General features: G+C 42.6%; 1 pseudogene, besides 1 other annotated feature; it reads left to right on the plus strand.

Annotated features, from left to right (window-relative positions):
* Positions 852 to 1,001: an enhancer, noted in NCBI's record as "active region_17471". NCBI's record gives its function as "activates an Ori minimal core promoter by ATAC-STARR-seq in GM12878 lymphoblastoid cells {active_cell/tissue: GM12878}" and the evidence as "EXISTENCE:reporter gene assay evidence [ECO:0000049][PMID:35858748]".
* On the plus strand, positions 7,951 to 8,378 carry RPL19P1 (ribosomal protein L19 pseudogene 1; annotated as a pseudogene).

The following is a 20,057-nucleotide window of genomic DNA, read 5'->3' on the forward strand; positions in this document are numbered from 1 at the left end:
CAGCCTGGGCAACAAGAGCGAAACTCCATCTCAAAAAAAAAAGAAAAAAGGCCAAGTTTCAACCAAAAATCACTTGTCATGCCAGGAACCAGGAAGATCTCAAACCAAATAAAGAAAGGCCATCTATTGGATGTAACACCAAGATGCTAGAATTAACCGATGAAGATATTAAAGTAGTCATGATCAAGATACTTCAACAAACAACTAAGAATATGCTTAAAATAAATGAAAAAATTGCCTCAGCAAAGAAATAGAAAGTCTCTGAAAAAGTAGATGATAACAAGAGCCAAATGGAAACACTGAAACTGACAAAACAGAATCACTAAAATTTTAAAATTCAGTGGATGGGCTCAACAACAAAATGGAAGGTACAAAGGAAAAAATCCATAAACTCAATGACAGAATAATAGAAATGGCCAAATCTGTAAAGAGAGAAGAGAAACTGAAAAAAAAAAAAAGATAAAGAGAACCTCTAGAGACTGTGGAGCTATAACGAAAGAGCTAATATTAGTGTCACTGGAGTTCCGGAAGGAGAGCAGGGCTGGGTGTGGTGGCTCATGCCTGTAATCCCAGCACTTTGGGAAACTGAGGCAGGAGGATTGTGTGAGCTCAGGAGTTTGAGACCAGCCTGGGCAACATGGTGAAACCTTGCCTCTACAAAAAATACAAAAATTAGCCACATGTGGTGGCATACATCTTAGTCCCAGCTACTCAGGAGGCTAAGGTGGGAGGATGGTTTGAGTGTGGGAGGCAGAGGTTGCAGTGAGCTGAGATTGCACTGTTGTACTCCAGCCTGGGCAATAGAATGAGACCCTATCTCAAAAAAAGGAAAAGAAAAAGAAAGAAAAGAAGAAAAATACTGGAAGAAATAGTGGCTGAAAATTTGCCACTTATCACTCATGTCATAAGGGCCTTCAGCCACTGAAACACTGTTTTCATTTTTTTTGGGGGGGGGTTTGTTCTGTTTTGTTTTTTTGTTTTTGTTTTGAGACAGAGTCTCGCTCTATCACCAGGCTGGAGTGCAGTGGTGCGATCTCAGCTCACCACAACCTCTGCCTCCCAGGTTCAAGCAATTCTCCTGCTCAGCCTCCCGAGTAGCTGGGACTATAGGCACGTGCCACCACGCCCAGCTAATTTTTGTATTTTTAGTAGAGACGGGGTTTCACCGTGTTGGCCAGGATGGTCTCGAGCTTTGACCTCATGATCTGCTCACCTCGGCCTCCCAAAGTGCTGGGATTACAGGCCTGAGCCACCCTGCCTGGCCTCTGTTTTTTTTTTTTTTTTTTTAAGACACATTCTCACTCTGTCTCCCAGGCCGGAGTGTAGTGGCACGACAATAACTTACTATAACCTTGAACCCTTGGGCTCAAACAACCCTCCTGCTCAGCCTCCTGAGTAGCTGGGACCACAGGCACGTGCCATCACGCCCAGCTAATTTTTTAATTTTTTGTAGAGATGCAGTCTCGCTATGCTGCCCAAGCTGATCTTGAATTCCTGGCCTCAAGCAATCCTCCTTCCTTGACCTCCCAAAGTTTGGGATTACAGACATGAGCCACTGCGCCCAGCCCTGAAACACTTTTTGAAGCTCGTATTAGTAACCTAATAAGTAACCTAAGCCATCAGAGGTATCTATATTTCATATAGCTGTGTTTCTAATAAAGCTGTAATTAAAAGAACATTTGTAACTTAAAGTTCTAAGTTGTCTCAGGGGTTGGGTCACTATATTGAGTGTACTCCCCCAATTCTTCTCCTCACATGCAGATTTTAGTAAGTGATAGTTTTAAATTAAATTTTGAACCTGTGCTTTGCTTTGTTTTGTTTTGTTTTGTTTTTTTCTGATACAGGGTCTCACTCTGTCTTCCAAGCTGGAGTGCAGTGGCGCGATCTCGGCTCACTGCAACCTCTGCCTCCCAGGTTCAAGCGATTATAGACATGTGCCACCATGCCCGACTAATTTTTGTATTTTTAGTAGAGACGGGGTTTTACTATCTTGGCCAGGCTGGTTTCAAACTCCTAACCTCAGGTGATCCACCCACCTTGGCCTCCCAAAGTGCTGAGAGTAGAGGCGTGAGCCACTGCATCCTGCCAAGCCTGTGCTCTTTGTTGCCTCCATACTGCTTCACAAACATGGGGGCATTGAGCTTGGAACTTTCTCGCAGAGGCTGAAACCACCTTTGTCTTCCTCTCCATGGAAATTAAATAGGTTTCATGTCAAGCATAGTACATATGATGTCTGTACAAATTAGAAAAAGGTGTCTCTTCCTCAAGCCCCCCCCCCAAAAAAAGTGTTATGTTAATATTTATTCCTTAACGACAATAATTAAGATAAACATACAGGAGCACTTGCCCCTCCCCCAAAGCCGACAGCCTTCGTGTCACCTGATGTATTAGCTGAAGCAGTATTCCTGGGTGAGAAATGTGTTGTTTCCAGAATCCAGAGGCCACCAAGTGCTGTGCTTCCTTCTTTGTGGCAGGGGATACAAAATACAGCAATTAGTCTCTAACTTTGGAGGAGCTATCCTGGCATGCCCTTGGCCAACAGACCCCGTAAAACTTGACCAAAATGGCAGGTCCCTGAACCCTCCCAGAGTTTATCTCCTACCATCTGGATTGCATGTGTCTCACCAAGGCCTCCAGTGTGCTAGCCATGTTGTGCTCATCCTGCCCGCCTGCATGACGTCAGTAACATAAAGGATCACTGCAGTGTCTGCATGACATATGGATAGTACAGAGACCTTCAAACTATATTATGATACAGACCAGGAAAATTAACATAGCCCTAGGGCAAAACACTGAGTAAATATTTATGTGAATGAGGACTGTTTCTGATCTTCTTTTCTAATTGGGATGGAACTCTAATATAAAATCCACCACCGTAACAAACTGAAAGAGAGAAAATATACGGTCACCTCAAAAGATGCAGAAAAAGCATTTGACAAACCTAACATCTGCTATAAAAATTCTCAGCCAGCTAGGATGAGAAGAAAACCTCTACAACATGATAAAGGGTATCTATGAAAACCTAACAGCTAACCCTAAACTGAATGTTTTTGCCCTAAAATCAGGAAGTAGGCAAGGATGCCCAGTCTTACCACTTTTGTTTGTGCTTCTTTGATCTGAAAATATATGGCTTTCACAAAATTTGAGCAGTTTTCAGCCATTGTTTCTTAACTTTCATTTAATATAGTACTAGAAGCCCTAGCAAGTGTGATAAGGCAAGAAAAATAAACAAAAGTCTTAATATTGAAAGGAAAAAATAAAATTATTCCCACTCACAAATGATATAATCATCTGTGCATAAAATCCTAAGGAATATATATATGTATATATTTGGAAAAAAACAGCTCCACGGCCAAGCATGGTGCCTCACACGTGTAATCCCAGCACTTTGGGAGGCCAAGACAGGAGAACTGCCTGAGGCCAGAAGTTCGAGACCAGCCTGAGCAACACAGGGAGACTCCATCTCTACAAAAAATGTTTAAAATGGCCAGACATAGTGGTGTGTGCCTGTGGTCCCAGCTACTTGGGAAGCTGAGGCAGGAGGATCACTTGAGCCCAGGAGTCTGAAGCTGCAGTAAGCTGGATCGCACCACTGCAGCACACAGCCTGGGCAATAGAGTGAGACAGCTGTCAAAAAAAAAAAAAATAAAGCTTCTAACTAATATTCAAGTTTATCAAGATCACAAGATTTGAGATCAATATACAAAAATCAACTACATTTCAATATATTAGCAAGGAACAATTAAAAATCAAATTTAAAAAATAACACCTGCATTTGTTTGCTAGGACTGACATTAAAAAGTACCACAGACCAAGTGGCTAAAACGACAGAGATTTATTTTCTCACAGTTCTAGAGGGTGGAAGTCAAAGATCGAAGTATCAGCTGATTTGGTTTCTCTTAAAGCCTCTCTCCTGGCCCTACAGGTGCCTACCTTCTCCCTATGTCTTCACATGGTGGACAGAGAAAACTCTTGTGTCTCTCTCCTCTCTTTTTTTTTTTTTTTTTTTGAGACAGTCTCACTCAGTTGCCCAGGCTGGAATGCAGTGGTGCAATCTCGGCTCACTGAAACCTCCACCTCCCTCGTTCAAGCGATTCGCCTGCCTCAGCCTCCTGAGTAGCTGGAATTACAGACTCGTGCCACCACCCCTGGCTAATTTTTGTATTTTTAGTAAAGATGGGGTTTCGCCATGTTAGCCAGGCTGGTCTCAAACTCCTGACCTCAACAGCTCCGCCCACCTTGGCCTCCCAAAGTGCTGGGATTACAGGTGTAAGCCACCACGCCAGCCTCTCTCTCTTCTTAAAGGGACACTAGTCATACTGGATTAGGGCCCACCCATGTGAACTTAATTACTTCTTTAAGGTTCTGTCTCCAAATACAGTCACAATCTGAAGTCTTGGGGGTTAGGACTTCAGTATATGAATTGGGGTGAAATAATTCAGCCCATAAAAATACCATTGATAAGAGCTCGAAAAATGAAATACTTCAATATAAATCTAACATAAGATGTGCAGGATCTGTATGCTGGAAACTACAAAACGCCAATGAAAGAGCTAGAAGAAGACCTAATAAGCGAATAAACACACAGTGTTCAAGGATTGGGAAGTACAGTATAGTTTTGTTTTGTTGTTGTTGTTGTTGTTTTTGTTTTTTTTGAGACAGAGTCTTGCTCTGTGGCCCAGGTTAGAGTACAGTGGCGCGATCTTGGCTCACCACAATCCTGCCTCCCAGGCTCAAGCGATTCTCCTGCCTCAGCTTCCCAAGTAGCTGGGACTACAGGTGCTTGCCACCATGCCTAGCTAATTTTTGTATTTTTAGTAGAGACGGGGCTTCACTGTGTTGGCCAGGCTGGTCTCGAACTCCTGACCTCGTGATCTGCCCGCCTCAGCCTCCCAAAGTCCTGGATTACAGGCGTGAGCCACCACACCCAGCCTTACATTATAGTTAAGATGCCAATTGTCCCCAGATTGACCCACAGATTTAATGCAATTCCAATCAAAATCCTAGCAAAATTCTTTGGAGATAGACAAGGTAAATCTAAACTGTGTATGGAAAGGTAAGAAGACGGTAATAGCCAAAACAAGTTTGAAAAGAAAAAGGCATAGGATTCACACTACCCATTTGTATGTGTATGTGTGTGTGTTTCCCAGATTGATGTTTGTTGTTTGTTTGTTTTTGAGACGAAGTCTTGCTCTGTTGCCCCGGTTGGAGTGCAATGGTGCAATCTCAGCTCACCACAACCTCTGCCTCCCAGGTTCAAGTGATTCTCCTGCCTCAGCCTCCCAAGTAGCTAGGATTACAGGTGCACGCCACCACGCCCAGCTAATTTTTGTATTTTTGGTAGAGACAGGGTTTCGCCATGTTGGCCAGGCTGGTCTCGAACTCCTGACCTCAGGTGATCCACCCGCTTCAGCCTCCCAAAGTGCTGGGATTACAGGCGTGAGGCACTGGACCCGGCCTCCCAGATTGTTTTATTGTGGTAAAGCATGGATAAGATGAAATTTACCATTTAGCTTTTTTTTTTTTTTTTTAAAGAAATGGAGTCTCACTATGTTGCCAAGGCTAGATTCGAACTCCCGGGCTAGAGTGATCCTCCTAGCTCAGCTTCCTGAGTAGCCGGGAACACAGGCTTCTGCCACCACACCCAGCTCTCAGCCATTTTTAAGTGTATAATTCAAATTCAGTGGCATTAAATACATTCACAAGGTTGTGTAGCCAGCATTACTATCTATTTCCAGAACTTGTTCATCATTCCAAACAGAAACCCTGTACCCACTGGACATTAACTCCTCACTCCCTCCCCCAAGTCCCTGGTAACCTCTATTCTACTTTCTGTGTCTATGAATTTGCCTATTCCAGTTACTTCATATAAGCGGAATCATATATTTGTCCTTTTGTGTCTGGCTTATTTCTCTTAGCATAATATTTGCAAAGTTCATCCTTGCTGTAGCTGCTTGTGTCAGAATTTTATTCCTTTTTATGGCTGAGTAATATTCTATTTTGTGTGTATACCACATTTTGTGTATTCATTCATCTGTTTGAACACATGGGTTGTTTTCACCTTTTGGATATTGTGAATAATGCTGCTGTGAACACTTGGTGTACGAGTATCTCTTTGAGTCACTGCTTTCAATTCTTTGGAAGAATATTGAGAAGTGAAATTGCTGGGTCATATTGTAATTCTGTGTTTAACTTTTTGAGGAATCACTGAACTGTTTCCCACCACAGACGCAATGTTTTACATTCTAGCAATGCACAAACGTTTTGATTTCTCCACATCACCAACACCTTTTTGTTTGTTTGTTTTGTTTTGTTTTGAGACAGTCTCGCTCTGTTGTCCAGGCTTGAATGCAGTGGCACCATCTCAGCTCGCTGCAACCTCCGCCTCCTGGGTTCAAGGAATTCTCATGCCTCAGCCTCCTGAGTAGCTGAGGCTACAGGCAAGCGCCCCCACGCCCAGCTAATTTTTGTAGTTTTGGTAGAGATGAGGTTTCACCATGTCCGCCAGGCTGGTCTCAAACTCCTGGCCTCAAGTGATCCACCTGGCTGGGCCTCCCAAAGTGCTGAAATTACAGGCATGAGCCACCGTGCCCAGCCCACCAACACTTTTTATTGTTAATTTTATTGATAGTAGTTATTCTAATTTAGGGTGTAAAGTGGTATCTCGTTTCCATTTGTATTTCCCTAATGACTAATGATGTTGAGCATTTTTTCATGTGCTTATTGGGCATTCGCGTATCGTCTTTGAAGAAATGTTTATTAAAGTTCCTTGTCCAGGCCGGGCGCGGTGGCTCACGCCTGTCATCTCAGCGCTTTGGGAGGCCGAGGCGGGCAGATCATGAGGTCAGGAGATCGAGACCATCCTGGCTAACACGGTGAAACCCCGTCTCTACTAAAAATACAAAAAAAATTAGCTGGGCGTGGTGGCGGGCGCCTGTAGTCCCAGGGCTGAGGCAGGAGAATGGCCTGAACCCGGGAGGCGGAGCTTGCAGTGAGCCGAGATGGCGCCACCGCACTCCAGCCTGGGCGACAGAGCAAGACTCCGTCTCAAAAAAAAAAAAAAGTTCCTTGTCCATTTTTCCATTTTTGAATTAGGTTTTTTGTTTGTTTGTTTTATGTTGAGTTGTAGAAGTTCTTTACATATTCTGGATATTTACATTTCTGCAAATATTTTCTGCCATTCTGTGGGCTGTCGTTTCATTCTCTTCTTTGATGCACAAAAGTTTTTAATTTTGATGAAGTTCACCTTATGTTTTTTTCTCTTGTTGACTGTACTTTGGTGACATATCCAAGAAATGATTGACAAATTCAATGTCATGAAGATTTTTCACTGCTTTTTTCTCCTAGGAATTTTATGGTGTTAGCTCTTCAGTGCAGGGTTTGATCCATTGCGAATTAATTTTTGGATACGGTGCAACAAAAGGATCCGGCTGCATTCTTTTGCATGTGCACACTACCCGGTTCTAAGATGTATCATAAAGCTACCAATAGTCAAGGCATTGTGATATTGGCAAAAAGACAAATGCCAATGGAACAAACTAAAAATTCTAGAAATAGACCCACATAAATATGGTCAGCTGATTTTTGACAAAGATGTAAAGACAATTCAATGAAGAAAGAACAGTCGTTTCAACAAAAGGTGCTGGAACAACTGGACTTCCACATGCAAAAATAAAAACCTAGACTTACATTTCATATATATATATAAATTAACTCAAAATATATGATAAACGTAAATTAATATGTAAAACTATAAAACTCTTAGACTTAGGAGAAAATATTCGTGACCTTTGGTTAGTCAAAGAGCTTCCAGATAGGACACAAAAACACCATCTATAAGAGGAAAAAAAGGATAAGTTTCACTTTCTCGAAATTTAAAACTTCTGCTCTGCAAAAAACACTATTAAGAGAATAAAGTTGTTTCCTTTCGTCACTGCAGCAGCAGCTGTATGTCCAAGCTTCAGAAGAGACTTGCCTCTAAGATTCTCCACTGTGGCAAAAAGATGGTCTGGCTGGACCTTAACAAGACCAACGAAATCGCCAATGCCAACACCTGCCAGCAGATTCAAAAGCTGATCAAAGATGGGCTGATAATCCCAAGCCCCTGACTGTCCTTTCCTGGGCTTCATGCAGGAAAAACACCTTGACCTGCCAAGAGGGCAGGAATATGGGCGTAAGTAAGTGAAAGGATATTGTCAATGCTCGAGTGCCAAAGAAGTTACCCTGGATGGGGAGGATGCGAATTCTGCATCAGCTGGTCGGAAGATACTGGGAATCTAAGAAGACTGGCCACCACATGTATCACAGCCTATACCTGAAGGTGAAAGAGAACATGTTCAAAAATACACGGATTCTTATGGAACACATCCACAAGTTGAGGTCTAAGACCAAGGAAGTATACAAATATATTCACCTGCCGTCCAAGAAGGTTCATCAAGGCTCAGTCCAAGGAGAAAGAGACAAAGAAAAACAGCGCCCCCACCCTCCTTGTCTGTACTCAGTGGCCTCAGCAATTACATAGACCAATCACTCAAATAAAACAAGTCTCTTTTTTTTCCTTAAGAAAGTGAAAGAGAGAATGAAAAAACAAACCACAGATTGGGAGAAAATATTTACAAATCATATATCAGAAAAAGCACTTGTATCTAACTCTCAAAACTTAAAAATAAGAAAAGAAACAATCCAATTTTTTTTAAATGGGCAGTTTAAAAAAACTCTGCAGTTAAAAAAAAATAAAAACAATCCAATTATAAAATGGGCAAAAGATATAAACAGATATTTTTCCAAAGAGGAGATTTAGGTGGCAAATAAGCATGTGAAAAGATGTCCAACATCCTTAGCCATTAGGGAAATGCAAATTAAAGCCACACTATTTCACTGTACACCTATTAGAACAGCTAAAATAGGTGCGTAATGAACAGCTAAAATAACAAGTCATGGTAACACCAAGTGGTGACAAGTACGCAGAGAAGCTGGCTCTCTCGTACATTCCTGATGGGAATGTAAATGGCACAGACACTCACATACACTTACTATATGATCCAGCAATCACACCCTTGGGCATTTATCCCAGAAAAATGAAAACTTATGTGCATACAAAAATCTGTTCTTGAATGTTCCTATTAGCCCTATTTATAATAGCAAAATACTGGAAACAACTCAAATGTCCTTTAATGAGTGAATGGTTGAACAAGCTCTGGAACATCCATATAAAGCAATATAATTCTGCAATACAAAGATATGAACTATCGAGGCATGCAACAACCTTGATGAATGTCAAGGGCATTATGCTTAGTGAAAAAACAGTCCATCTCAAAAGGTTACATGCTGTATTATTCCATTCCTATAACATTCTCTAAATGACAAAACTATAGAAATGAGAGAACAAATTAGGAGTAAGCAAGGGAAAGAAGTGGAGATGGGGGAGGCAGGGACACAAATACAAAAAAGTAACATAAGGGAGTTCTTTGGTGGTGAGGGAGCAGTTCTATATCTTGATCGTGGTGGTGGTTACACAAATCTATACATAGGATAAAATCTTACAAAACTAAACACAACACACACACACCACACGCACACAAATGGATACAGGGTTTTGGGGGGTTTTTTAATGCCAAAAACTGAACGAGGTCTGTAATCGAGTTGACTGTAATGTACCAATGTCAGTTTTCTCATTTGGATGTTTGTGTTAGTTTGCTAGGGCTGCCATACCAAGTACCACAGACTGGGTAGCTTAAACCAACAAAATTATTTTCTCTGCCAGGTGCGGTGGCTCACGCCTCTAATCCCAGCACTTTGGGAGGCTGAGGAGCGTGGATCACCTGAGGTCAGGAGTTGGAGACCAGCCTGGCCAACATGGTGAAACCCTGTCTCTACTAAAAACACAAAAATCAGCCAGGTGTGGTAGCAAGCACCTGTAATTCCAGCTACTTGGGAGGCTGAGGCAGGAGAATTGCTTGGACCCGGGAGGCGGAGGTTTCAGTGAGCCGAAATTGCACCACTGTACTCCACTCTGGGTGACAGAGCAAGACTCTGTCTTGGGGGAAAAAAAAATTATTTCCTCACAGTATTGGAGTCTGGAAGTCCAAGGTCAGCAGATTTTATTCCTCCTGAAGCCTCTCTTCTTGGCTTGTAGATGGATATCTTCTCTCTATGTCCTCACGTGGTCTTCCCTCTGTGTGTATCTGTGTCCTAATTTCCTTTGTTTTTTTTTTTTTTTTTTTTTTTTTGAAACAGGGCCTCTCTTTGTCACCCAGGCTAGAGTGCAATGGTTCAAGCAATCCTCCCACTTCAGCCTCCCAAAGTGCTGGGATTACAGGCATGAGCTAATGCACCCGACCTCCTCTTCTTATAAGGACACCAGTCATATTGGAGGGACCATCTGTTTGACCTCATTTGACCTTAATTACGTCTTAAAAGACCCTATCACCACATACATTCTGAGGAAGTTGGGGTTAGGACTACAACATATGAATTTGGGAGGAAGACGATTAGGGCCATACGATATTGTACTACAGCTATATGTCACCCACTGGGGTAACAGTCAAAAGCGCATGGATCTCTTTGTACTATGTGAACAACTTCCTGTGAACCTATAATTATTTCAAAATAAAAAGTTGGCCAGGCATGGTGGCTCACCTGTGTAGTCCCAGCACTTTGGGAGGCTGAGGCGGGCCAATCACTTGAGGTCAGGAGTTCGAGACCAGCCTGGCCAACATGGTGAAATCCCATCTCTACCAAAAAATATAAAAATTAGCCAGGCATGGTGGTGCGCGCCTGTAGTTCCCACTATTCAGGAGGCTGAGGTGGGAGGATCTCTTGAACCTGGGAGGGGGAGGTTGCAGTGAGCCGAAATCACACCATTGCACTCCAGCCTGGGCAACAGAGACTCTGTCTCAAAAAAAAAAAAAAAAAAGTCCGGGCGCAGTGGCTCACACCTGTAATCCCAGCACTTTGGGAGGCCGAGTTGGGCAGATCACGTGAGGTTGGGAGTTCCAGACCAGCCTGACCAACATGGAGAAACCCCATCTCTACTAAAAATACAAAATTAGCCGGGCGTGGTGGTGCATGCCTGTAATCCCAGCTACTTGGGAGGCTGAGGCAGGAGAATTGCTTGAACCTGGGAGGAGGAGGTTGCAGTGAGCCAAGATTGCGCCATTGCACTCCAGCCTGGGCAACAAGAGCAAAACTCCGTCTCAAAAAAAAAAAAAAAGAAAAGTTAAACAATGGGGAAAAGATGTAAAGACATTACATCAAAGAATATATATGAATGGCAAATAAGCACATGAGAAGACGTTTAGCATAATTAGTCATTAAGAGAAATGCAAATTAAAACCAAAATGAGAAATCATTGCATGCCTATTACGATAACTAAAATTAAAAATACTATTGATACCTAATGCTGATGAGAATACAGAGCAACAAGAACTCTCATAATTGCTTGTGGGAATTCAAACTAATACAGTCACTCAGGAACAGTATCTTATAGTTACACATACACGTATCACATGACCCAGCAGTCCCACCTCTAGGTATTTATCCTAAAGAATGAAAAGTATATTCACACAAAAACCTGTACATGTTCACAGCAGCATTATTCATAATGGTCAAGACAACCTAAAAGTCCTTCAATGGGTAAATAGAGCCACAAGATGGGATACTGCTCAGAGATAAAAGGGACAAATGATTGACACGCCACAACATGGATGACTCTGAAATGCATTATGCTAAGTGAAAGAACCTAGACTCAATAGGTTACATACTTTATGATTCCACTTACATCACACTCTGGGAAGGGCAAAACTACAGCCACTTCGGTTCTCTTTTGGTTACTGTTTGCATAGCTTTTTTTCCATCCCACCTTCAACCTATTTGTGTCTTCGAATCTGAAGCATGTCTGGTGAAAACAACAAATAGGTTTTGTTTTTCCTTTTTCTTTTTCTTTTTTCTTTTTTTTTTTAGACAGAATCTCACTTTGTCCCCCAGGCTTGAGTGCAGTGGCGTGATCTCAGCTCACTGCAGCCTCAACCTCCTGGGTTCCAGCGATCCTCCTGCCTCAGTCCCCCAAGTAGCTGGGACTACTGGCATGCGCCACCATGCCCAGTTAATTTTTGTACCTTTAGTAGAGACGGAGTTTCACCATGTTGCCCATGCTGGTCTCGAACTCCTGAGCTCAAGTGATCTGGCCACCTTGGCCTCCCAAAGTGCTGGGATTACAGGCGTGAGCCACCGTGCCTGGCCAACAAATAGTTGAGTCATATTTTTTAATCCATTATGTCAGTCTCTGCTGTATAATTAGAGGGTTTGTTTGTTTGTTTGTTGTTTGTTTGTTTGTTTGTTTTTGAGACGGAGTCTCGCTCTGTTGCCAGGCTGGAGTACAGTGGTGCCATCTCCGCTCACTGCAACCTCCGCCTCCCGGATTCAAGCGATTCTCCTGCCTCAGACTCCTGAGTAGCTGGGACTACAGGTGCGCGCCACCACGCCCGGCTAATTTTTGTATTTTTAGTAGAGACGGGGTTTCACCATGTTGGCCAGGATAGTCTCAATCTCTTGACCTCATGATTCGCCTGCCTTGGCCTCCCAAAATGCTGGTATTACAGGCGTGAGCCACCATGCCCGGCCGAGGGTTTAACCCACTTACATTTAAACTGATGAGGTAAGATTTACATCTGCCATTTTGCTATTTGTTTTCTGTCTTCTTTTATTCTTCTTCTTCCATTGCTGCCCTCTTCTGTATTAAATAAATATTTTCCACAGTATCTTTTTAATTCCCCTGCTCTTCCTTTCCTATATATTTTTTGAATTGTTTTCTTGGTGGTTGTGCTGAGGATTACAATAACATCTTAACTTTTAACATCTAGGTTGGGTTAATGCCAAATTAATTTCAATTAATACCAACATAACTTAATTTCAATTTTCTCTCATTTAGTTCCATTTCTCCCCTCCCCTTTGTGCTCTTATTGTAATACAAATTACATTTTTAAACACTGTACACTCATCAATGCAGATTTTTTTGAAAACAGTTTTGAGATAAAATTCACAACCATACAATTCATCCATTTAATGTGTACAATTCAACTTTTTAAAATATATTCATAAGTATGTATTGCCATCAGCACAGTCCATTTTAAAACATTTTTATCACCTAAAATAAAAAATTAAAAAGGCCAGGTGCAGTGGCTCACACTTGCAATCCAAACATTTTGGGAGACCAAAGCAGGACTATCACTTGAGGCCAGGAGTTTGCGAGCAGCCTGAGCAACACAGCAAGACTCCACCTAGTCCCAGCTACTCAGGAGGCTGAGGCAGGAGGGGCCCAGGAGTTCAAGGCCACAGTAAGCTATGATCATGCCACTGTACTCCAGCCTGGGTGACAGAGCAAGACTCTGTCTCTTAAAAAAATGAAAATAAAAATAAAAACTGTTCTCTTTAGCTATCATCCCTCTTCCTCAATTATGCCCAGCCCTAAGCAACCACTAATCTGCTGCTTTCTGTCTCTATAGTTTTGCCTAGTCTGGATATTTCCTACAAATGGACTCATACACTATATGGCCCTTGTCACTGGCATCTGGCATCTTCTACTTAACATAATGTTCTCAAGGTTTATCCATGTTGTAGTATGTATTTGTACTTCATTCCCTTTTTTTTTTCTTTTTTCTTTATATATATTTTTTCAGACAGGGTCTTACTTTGTCACCCAGGCTGGAGTGCAGTGGCGCCCTATCAGCTCACCGCAACCTCTGCCTCCCAGGTTCAAGCGATTCTTGTGCCTCAGCCTCCTGAGTAGCTGGGATTACAGACATGCATGACCACGCCCAGCTAATTTTTGTATTTTTAATAGAGACAGGGTTTCACCACGTTGGCCAGGCTGGTTTCGAACTCCTGATCTCAAGTGATCTGCCCACCTCAACTTCCCATAGTGCTGGGATTACAGGGGTGAGCCACCATGCCCGGCCTTTACTTCATTTGTGAAGGATGTTTTGCTGGATTTAGAATTCTTAGCTGACAGTCTTTTTCTTTCTTTTGGATATTTCCTCCCGCTCCTTTCTCCTCCACCACCCCAGCCACCATGGTTTCCAATAAGAAGTAAGCTGTTAATATTACTGAGGATTCCTTATACATGATGAGTTGCTCCTTTCTTGCTGCTTTCAAGATTTTCTCTTTGTCTTTGGCTTTGACAGTTTGATTATAATATTTCTAGATGTGGATATCTTTGAAATTGTCCTGCTGAGAGTTCGTTGAACTAAAGCAAAAGTATAAAAACAGGAAATAGATCAGCGGTTGCCTAGGGTTGGAGTAGAAGAAGGATCCGAATACAAAGGGACAGCATAAGGGAATTCTGTGGTGTGTTTCTTTTTTTTTTTGAGATGTAGTCTCGCTCTGTCGCCCAGGCTGGAGTGCAGTGGTGCCATCTCGGCTCAATGCAACCTCCACCTCCCCAGTTCACGCCATTCTCCTGCCTCAGCTTCCCAAGTAGCTGGGACTACAGGCGCCCGCTACCACGCCCGGCTAATTTTTTGTATTTTTAGTAGAGATGGGGTTTCACCGTGTTAGCCAGGACGGCCTCGATCTCCTGACCGCGTGATCTGCCCGTCTCGGCCTCCCAAAGTGCTGGGATTACAGGCGTGAGCCGCGGCACCCAGCCCTTTGATGTCTGTTTCTATGAGGGTGGTGGTAGTCGATACAAGAATCTATGCATGTGACTCATAGAACTGTACATCGAAAAGGTGAATTTTATCATATGCATATTTTTTAAATGCCAATAAATGAAAATTGATAATTTTTTTTTTTAGATGGAGTCTCACTCTGTCACCCAGGCTGGATGGAGTGCAGTGGCATGATGGCAGCTCACCGCAACCTCCACCTCCCAGGTTCAAGCGATTCTTCTGCCTCAGCCTCCCGAGTAGCTGGGACTACCTGGCTAATTTTTGTATTTTTAGTAGAGATGGGGTTTCACCATGTTGGCCAGGATGCTTTCAATCTCCTGACCTTGTGATCCGCCTGCCTCTGCCTCCCCAAGTGCTGGGATTACAGGTGTGAGCCACCGTGCCCGGCCGAAAATTGATAATTTTTAAAAATACTTAGTATGTTCACTCAACGCTGAATATATATTTTTATTTTATTTTTTTGAGGTGGAGTTTTGTTCTTGTTGCCCAGGTTGGAGTGCAATGGCGTGATCTCGGCTCACAGCAACCTCTGACTCCCGGGTTCAACCTCGTACCTCAGCCTCCCAAGTAGCTGGTATTACAGGCACTCACCACCAAGCCTAGCTTTTTTTTTTTTTTTTTTTTTGTATTTTTAGTAGAGACGGGGTTTCTCCACGTTGGTTAGGTTGGTCTTGAACTCCTGACCTCAGGTGATCTGCTCACTTCGGCATCACAAAGTGCTGGTATTACAGGCGTGAGACACCACATCTGGCATGAACACATATGTTTAAGTGAACACTCATGTACTCTCATCCAAGTAAGGGAAAAGCACATTGTGAGCATTCCAGAAGCTCCCTATGTTCTTCTCCCTGAATGTTGCCTCATTGCTCCCCCATAGAATCAATCACAATTCTAAATTTTATCATAATCACGTCCCTGCTCTTTTTTTATCTTTTTTTGTTTGTTTCTTTGTTTTTGAGACAGGATCTCACTCTGTTGGCCAGGCTGGGATGCAGTGGTGCAATTCCTGCTCACTACAGCTTCAACCTCCTGGGTACAAGCGATCCTCCTGCCTCAGCCCCTCAAGTAGCTTGAACCACAGGCACACACCACCACAACCAGCTAATTTTTGAATTTTGTTTTTTAGAGACCAGGTCTCGCTGTGTTGTGCAGGCTGGTCTTGAACTCTTGCGCTCACGCAATCTTCTCGCCTTGGCCTCCCTCGCTGCTGGGATTACAGATGTGAGCCACTGTGCCCAGCTGTTCTTTATCTTTTTATTATTCATGCATCACTAAAAAATGCAATTCTTTTCCTTTTGCATTTTGCTTATTTACTCAGAATTGTTTTGCAAGAATCATCTATGTTTTGTGTACTAGTTTACTTATTTTCATTCTTGTATAACTCAATTGCACAAATGTACCATATTTTATTCTTCATTCTTTTCTCCTTTTTTTTTTTTCTTTTTTTTTTTGAGACAGGGTCTCACTCTGTCACCCAGGCTGGAGTGCAGTGGCGTGATCACTACTCACTGCAGCCTCAACCTCCTGCTGGGCTCGTGATCCTCCCAGCTCCTCCTCCCACGTAGCTAGGACCACAAGTAGGTGCCTTCATGCCTGGCTAATATTTGTATTTTTTGTAGAGATAGCATTTTTCCATGTTCCCCACACTGGTCTTGAACTCCTGAGCTCAAGCATTCCACCCATCTCAGCCTCCTGAAGTGCTGGGATTAAAGGTGTGAGCCACCACACCTGGCCTCTTCATTCTATTTTTAGTGGACATTTGGATTTCTTCCAATTTGGATCTATTTCAAACAAAACTGCTATGAGCATTCATGTACATGTATCTTTTGTATGTGTATAAGAGTTTCTCTATGGTATATATTATATATCTAAGAATTGGGCATGTGTGTCTTTAATGCTACTAGATTATGCTGAGGTGTTCTCCATCTTCTCATACCACACATGTCAAATGGAATGCAAGAGCAAATACTTCTAATGATATGTGGTACAGACACAGGTAAGGGTTTACTAGAGGAAACTTCCAGGCAAAGAGTTGGAAAAAAATGTATATGATGCCCCAAATTCCCTTTATCCAAAAGGAAGCTTGCTTAGGTCAGGCAGGGCTAAACTCACTGTTGAAAGAGTTCCAGGAGAGTGGACACCTTCTCATGACACTCTACATATTTACAAAGGCAAGCGAGGGCTGGGGGCCCCTGGAAAACTAGCAACAACAGATGAAGATTTCTGGCCATGGAAATGTCTTAGCTGTAAATGAAGAGAATCCAGAGCTTGGACATCACTTGGGGAGCTCACATGCCAGTTCAGTCATGCTGAACTGTTCCTTTTGTGAAACGCATGTTCACATCTTTTGCCCATTATTATATTGGGTTATTTATTCTTCTTGGGGTTTGTCAGGATTCGTGTACCTGTGAATTGGTGTCTTTCATCAGTTCTGAAAAATTCTGTTAGCATCTCTTCAAAAGTTGCTGTTGGACTGGGCACAGTGGCTCACACCTGTAATCCCAGCACTTTGGGAGGCCGAGGTGGGAGGATCCCTTGAACTCAGGATTTCAAGACTAGCCTGGGAAACATGGCAAAACCCTGTCTCTACAAAAAATGCAAAAATTAGCTGGGCATGGTGCTACATGCCTGCAGTCCCAACTACCTGGGAGGCTGAGGTGGAAGGATCGCTTGAGTCCAGGAGGTTGAGGCTGCATGCAATGGGCAGTGATCACGCCACTGCACTCCATCCTATGTGGTAGAGTGAGACCCTGTCTCGAAAATAAAAAATAAAAAATTGCTCTTGACTTTGGTGGTGGCTAATGCCCATAATCTCAACACTTGGAGAGGCTGAGGCAGAAGGACCACTTGAACCCAGGAGTTTGAGACCAGCCTGTGCAACATAGGAAGACCCCGTCTCTACAAAAAATACAAAACTTAGCTGGGCATGGTGGTGCATGCCTGCAGACCCAGCTACTCAGGAGGGTGAGGTGGGAGGATCGCTTGAGTTCAGGAGGTCGAGGCTGCAGTGAGCTTTGATGACTGCACTCTGGGTGAGAGTGAGGCCCTGTCTCAAAAAAAAAAAAAAAAAAAAAAAGCTGTCTCTCACCACTCTTCCTCTCTTCACTTGTCAGCTTTTCTTCCATGTCTTTTAACATCTCTTCAATATTTTCTATCTCTTTCCACATTTTCCTCTATCTCTCTCTGTCCTTTCCCCAGAAAGGATATTCTCTTCTGTCCTAACTTCTAGCTCATTAATTCTCTCTTTAACTGTCTAACCCACTACTATACATACCCATTCAGTTTTTAGTTTAGGTTATTGTATTTTTATTTGTAGAAATTGTTAGGTTATATAGATATAGATATATAGATATAAATATATATTTTTTGAGACGGGAGTCTCGCTCTGTCGCCCAGGCTGACTGCAAACTCCACCTCCGGGATTCAAGCAATTCTCCTGCCTCAGCCTCCTGAGTAGCTTGGATTACAGGCACCCACCACCATACCTGGCTAATTTTTGTATTTTTAGTAGAGACAGGGTTTCACCATGTTAGCCAGGCTGGTCTTGAACTCGTGACCTCAGGTGATCTGCCTGCCTTGACCTCCCAAAGTGCTGAGATTACAGGCGCAAGCCACAGCACCTGACCCAAATAGCTCATTTTAACGTTTTTTTTTTTCTCTAATCTGAGGAGGCATCTTGTATGACTTTTATTTTACACAATGTGAACATGGTTGTTTTATAATCTGTAACTGGTGATTCAAATGTATTAAATCTTTGTAGGTCTAGATCTCCTATTTGTTACTGCTGCCTCATTTCCTTGATTTTTAATGTGATGCTTATTGTACTTAAAAAATTATTTGTATGACAATTGAGTAACAAGTTTACTGATGTAAAATTTTCGGTTCATTTTAAAAATTATGTGTCACATGTAACAGACTGACCGATATAAAATTCTCTGTTCATTTTACAAACAGTGTTCCCTAAAGTTGTACAATACTGTGATCCTACTTATGGATATTCTACAATATTTCAGATAATATAGGCTGACCAGCCAGGCACGGTGGCTCACGCCTGTAATCCCAGCACTTTGGGTAGCCGATCACCTGAGGTCAGGAGTTTAGCCTGGCCAACATGGTGAAACTCTATATCCACTAAAAATACAAAAACTAGCTGGGCGTGATGGCACACGCCTGTAATCCCAGCTACTCTGGAGGCTGAGACAGGAGAATTGCTTGAACCTGGGAGGCGGAGGTTGCGGTGAGCTGAGATTGCGCCAGTGCGCTCCAGCCTGGACGACAGAGCTAGACTCTCTCATAAAAAGAAAAAGGAAGGAAGGAAGGAAGGTATATAGACAGAGACTGGTCCATTTAACTTCATTTTAACATCTCTTTGGCTTGACTTCCTATAATGTAAAGGCTGGAAAGCTAAAAGCTAAATATCCCAGCTTCTTTTCTACCTGGCATTCCTCGTGTAACCTAGGTCCTGTCAAACAGATGCACAGGCCCTGAACTTGGAGCTAAGAATGGCAAAAGGAAGTGTCAAACACATTCAGGGAGATCAGATTTTCTGACAGTCATGGTAGTGGAGCTGTATGGTTTCTTTGGTACGAATATGAAATGTTCTGGCATCTAGTCCCCAGTATCTTAGTTGCCAAATATAAAGCAATGGTGAAAGTGATTATTTCTCTAGGAATATTCCCATGACATACATGGTTGGGGATTCCCTCTTGCCTTTGTTGACACTGACTGTAACGTTTCTGGTTATGGAGCATCCAAGTCCAGTTTCCAGCCCTCCTGGAGAGTGTGTGAGCTTCCTAAGACCCTTTAATCAATCCCTTTCTGCTTATTTAGAGTGCTATTTAGAGTGGATTCTATCATCTACACCTAAGAACACTTATATCCAATGAAACCAAAATAGAATCCAAGAAACTGTAGAACAAACTCAAGAGTACAATAACAAGAAATCCTAGACAAAAAAGCAGGCAAAGTTAAACTATGATGTTAGATGTGAGGATAGTGGTTACCCTTGACAGACAGGGGTATTGACTGGAAGGGTACACAAAGGGAGAATTTTGGAGTGCTGGTAGTATTGGGGTTTTTTAAACCTGGGTTATGGGTCCCTGAGTGTGCTCTGTCTGTGTACATTTATATGGCTGTGAACTTACATGCACTTTTCATTATATACGATAAACTTCAATGAATTAAAAATCTGTTTTTGAAAAATGACACTATAAGTGGAGGTGAGGAGAAAAGGTGCAGGGAAATTTGGTACTAGATCCTTCATGGCGATTAATGGATATTGACGCTGTGTGGGAGAGACAGAGACATCTCAAGAAACAGTGCAAGAGCCAAGCAGTAGGCAGAACTTACATGGCAAAAGGCTGCATGATGTCTTTATGCCAGATTTTGCCT

Source organism: Homo sapiens, chromosome 20, assembly GCF_000001405.40.
Source record: "Homo sapiens chromosome 20, GRCh38.p14 Primary Assembly".
NCBI classification, from domain to species: Eukaryota; Metazoa; Chordata; class Mammalia; order Primates; family Hominidae; genus Homo; species Homo sapiens.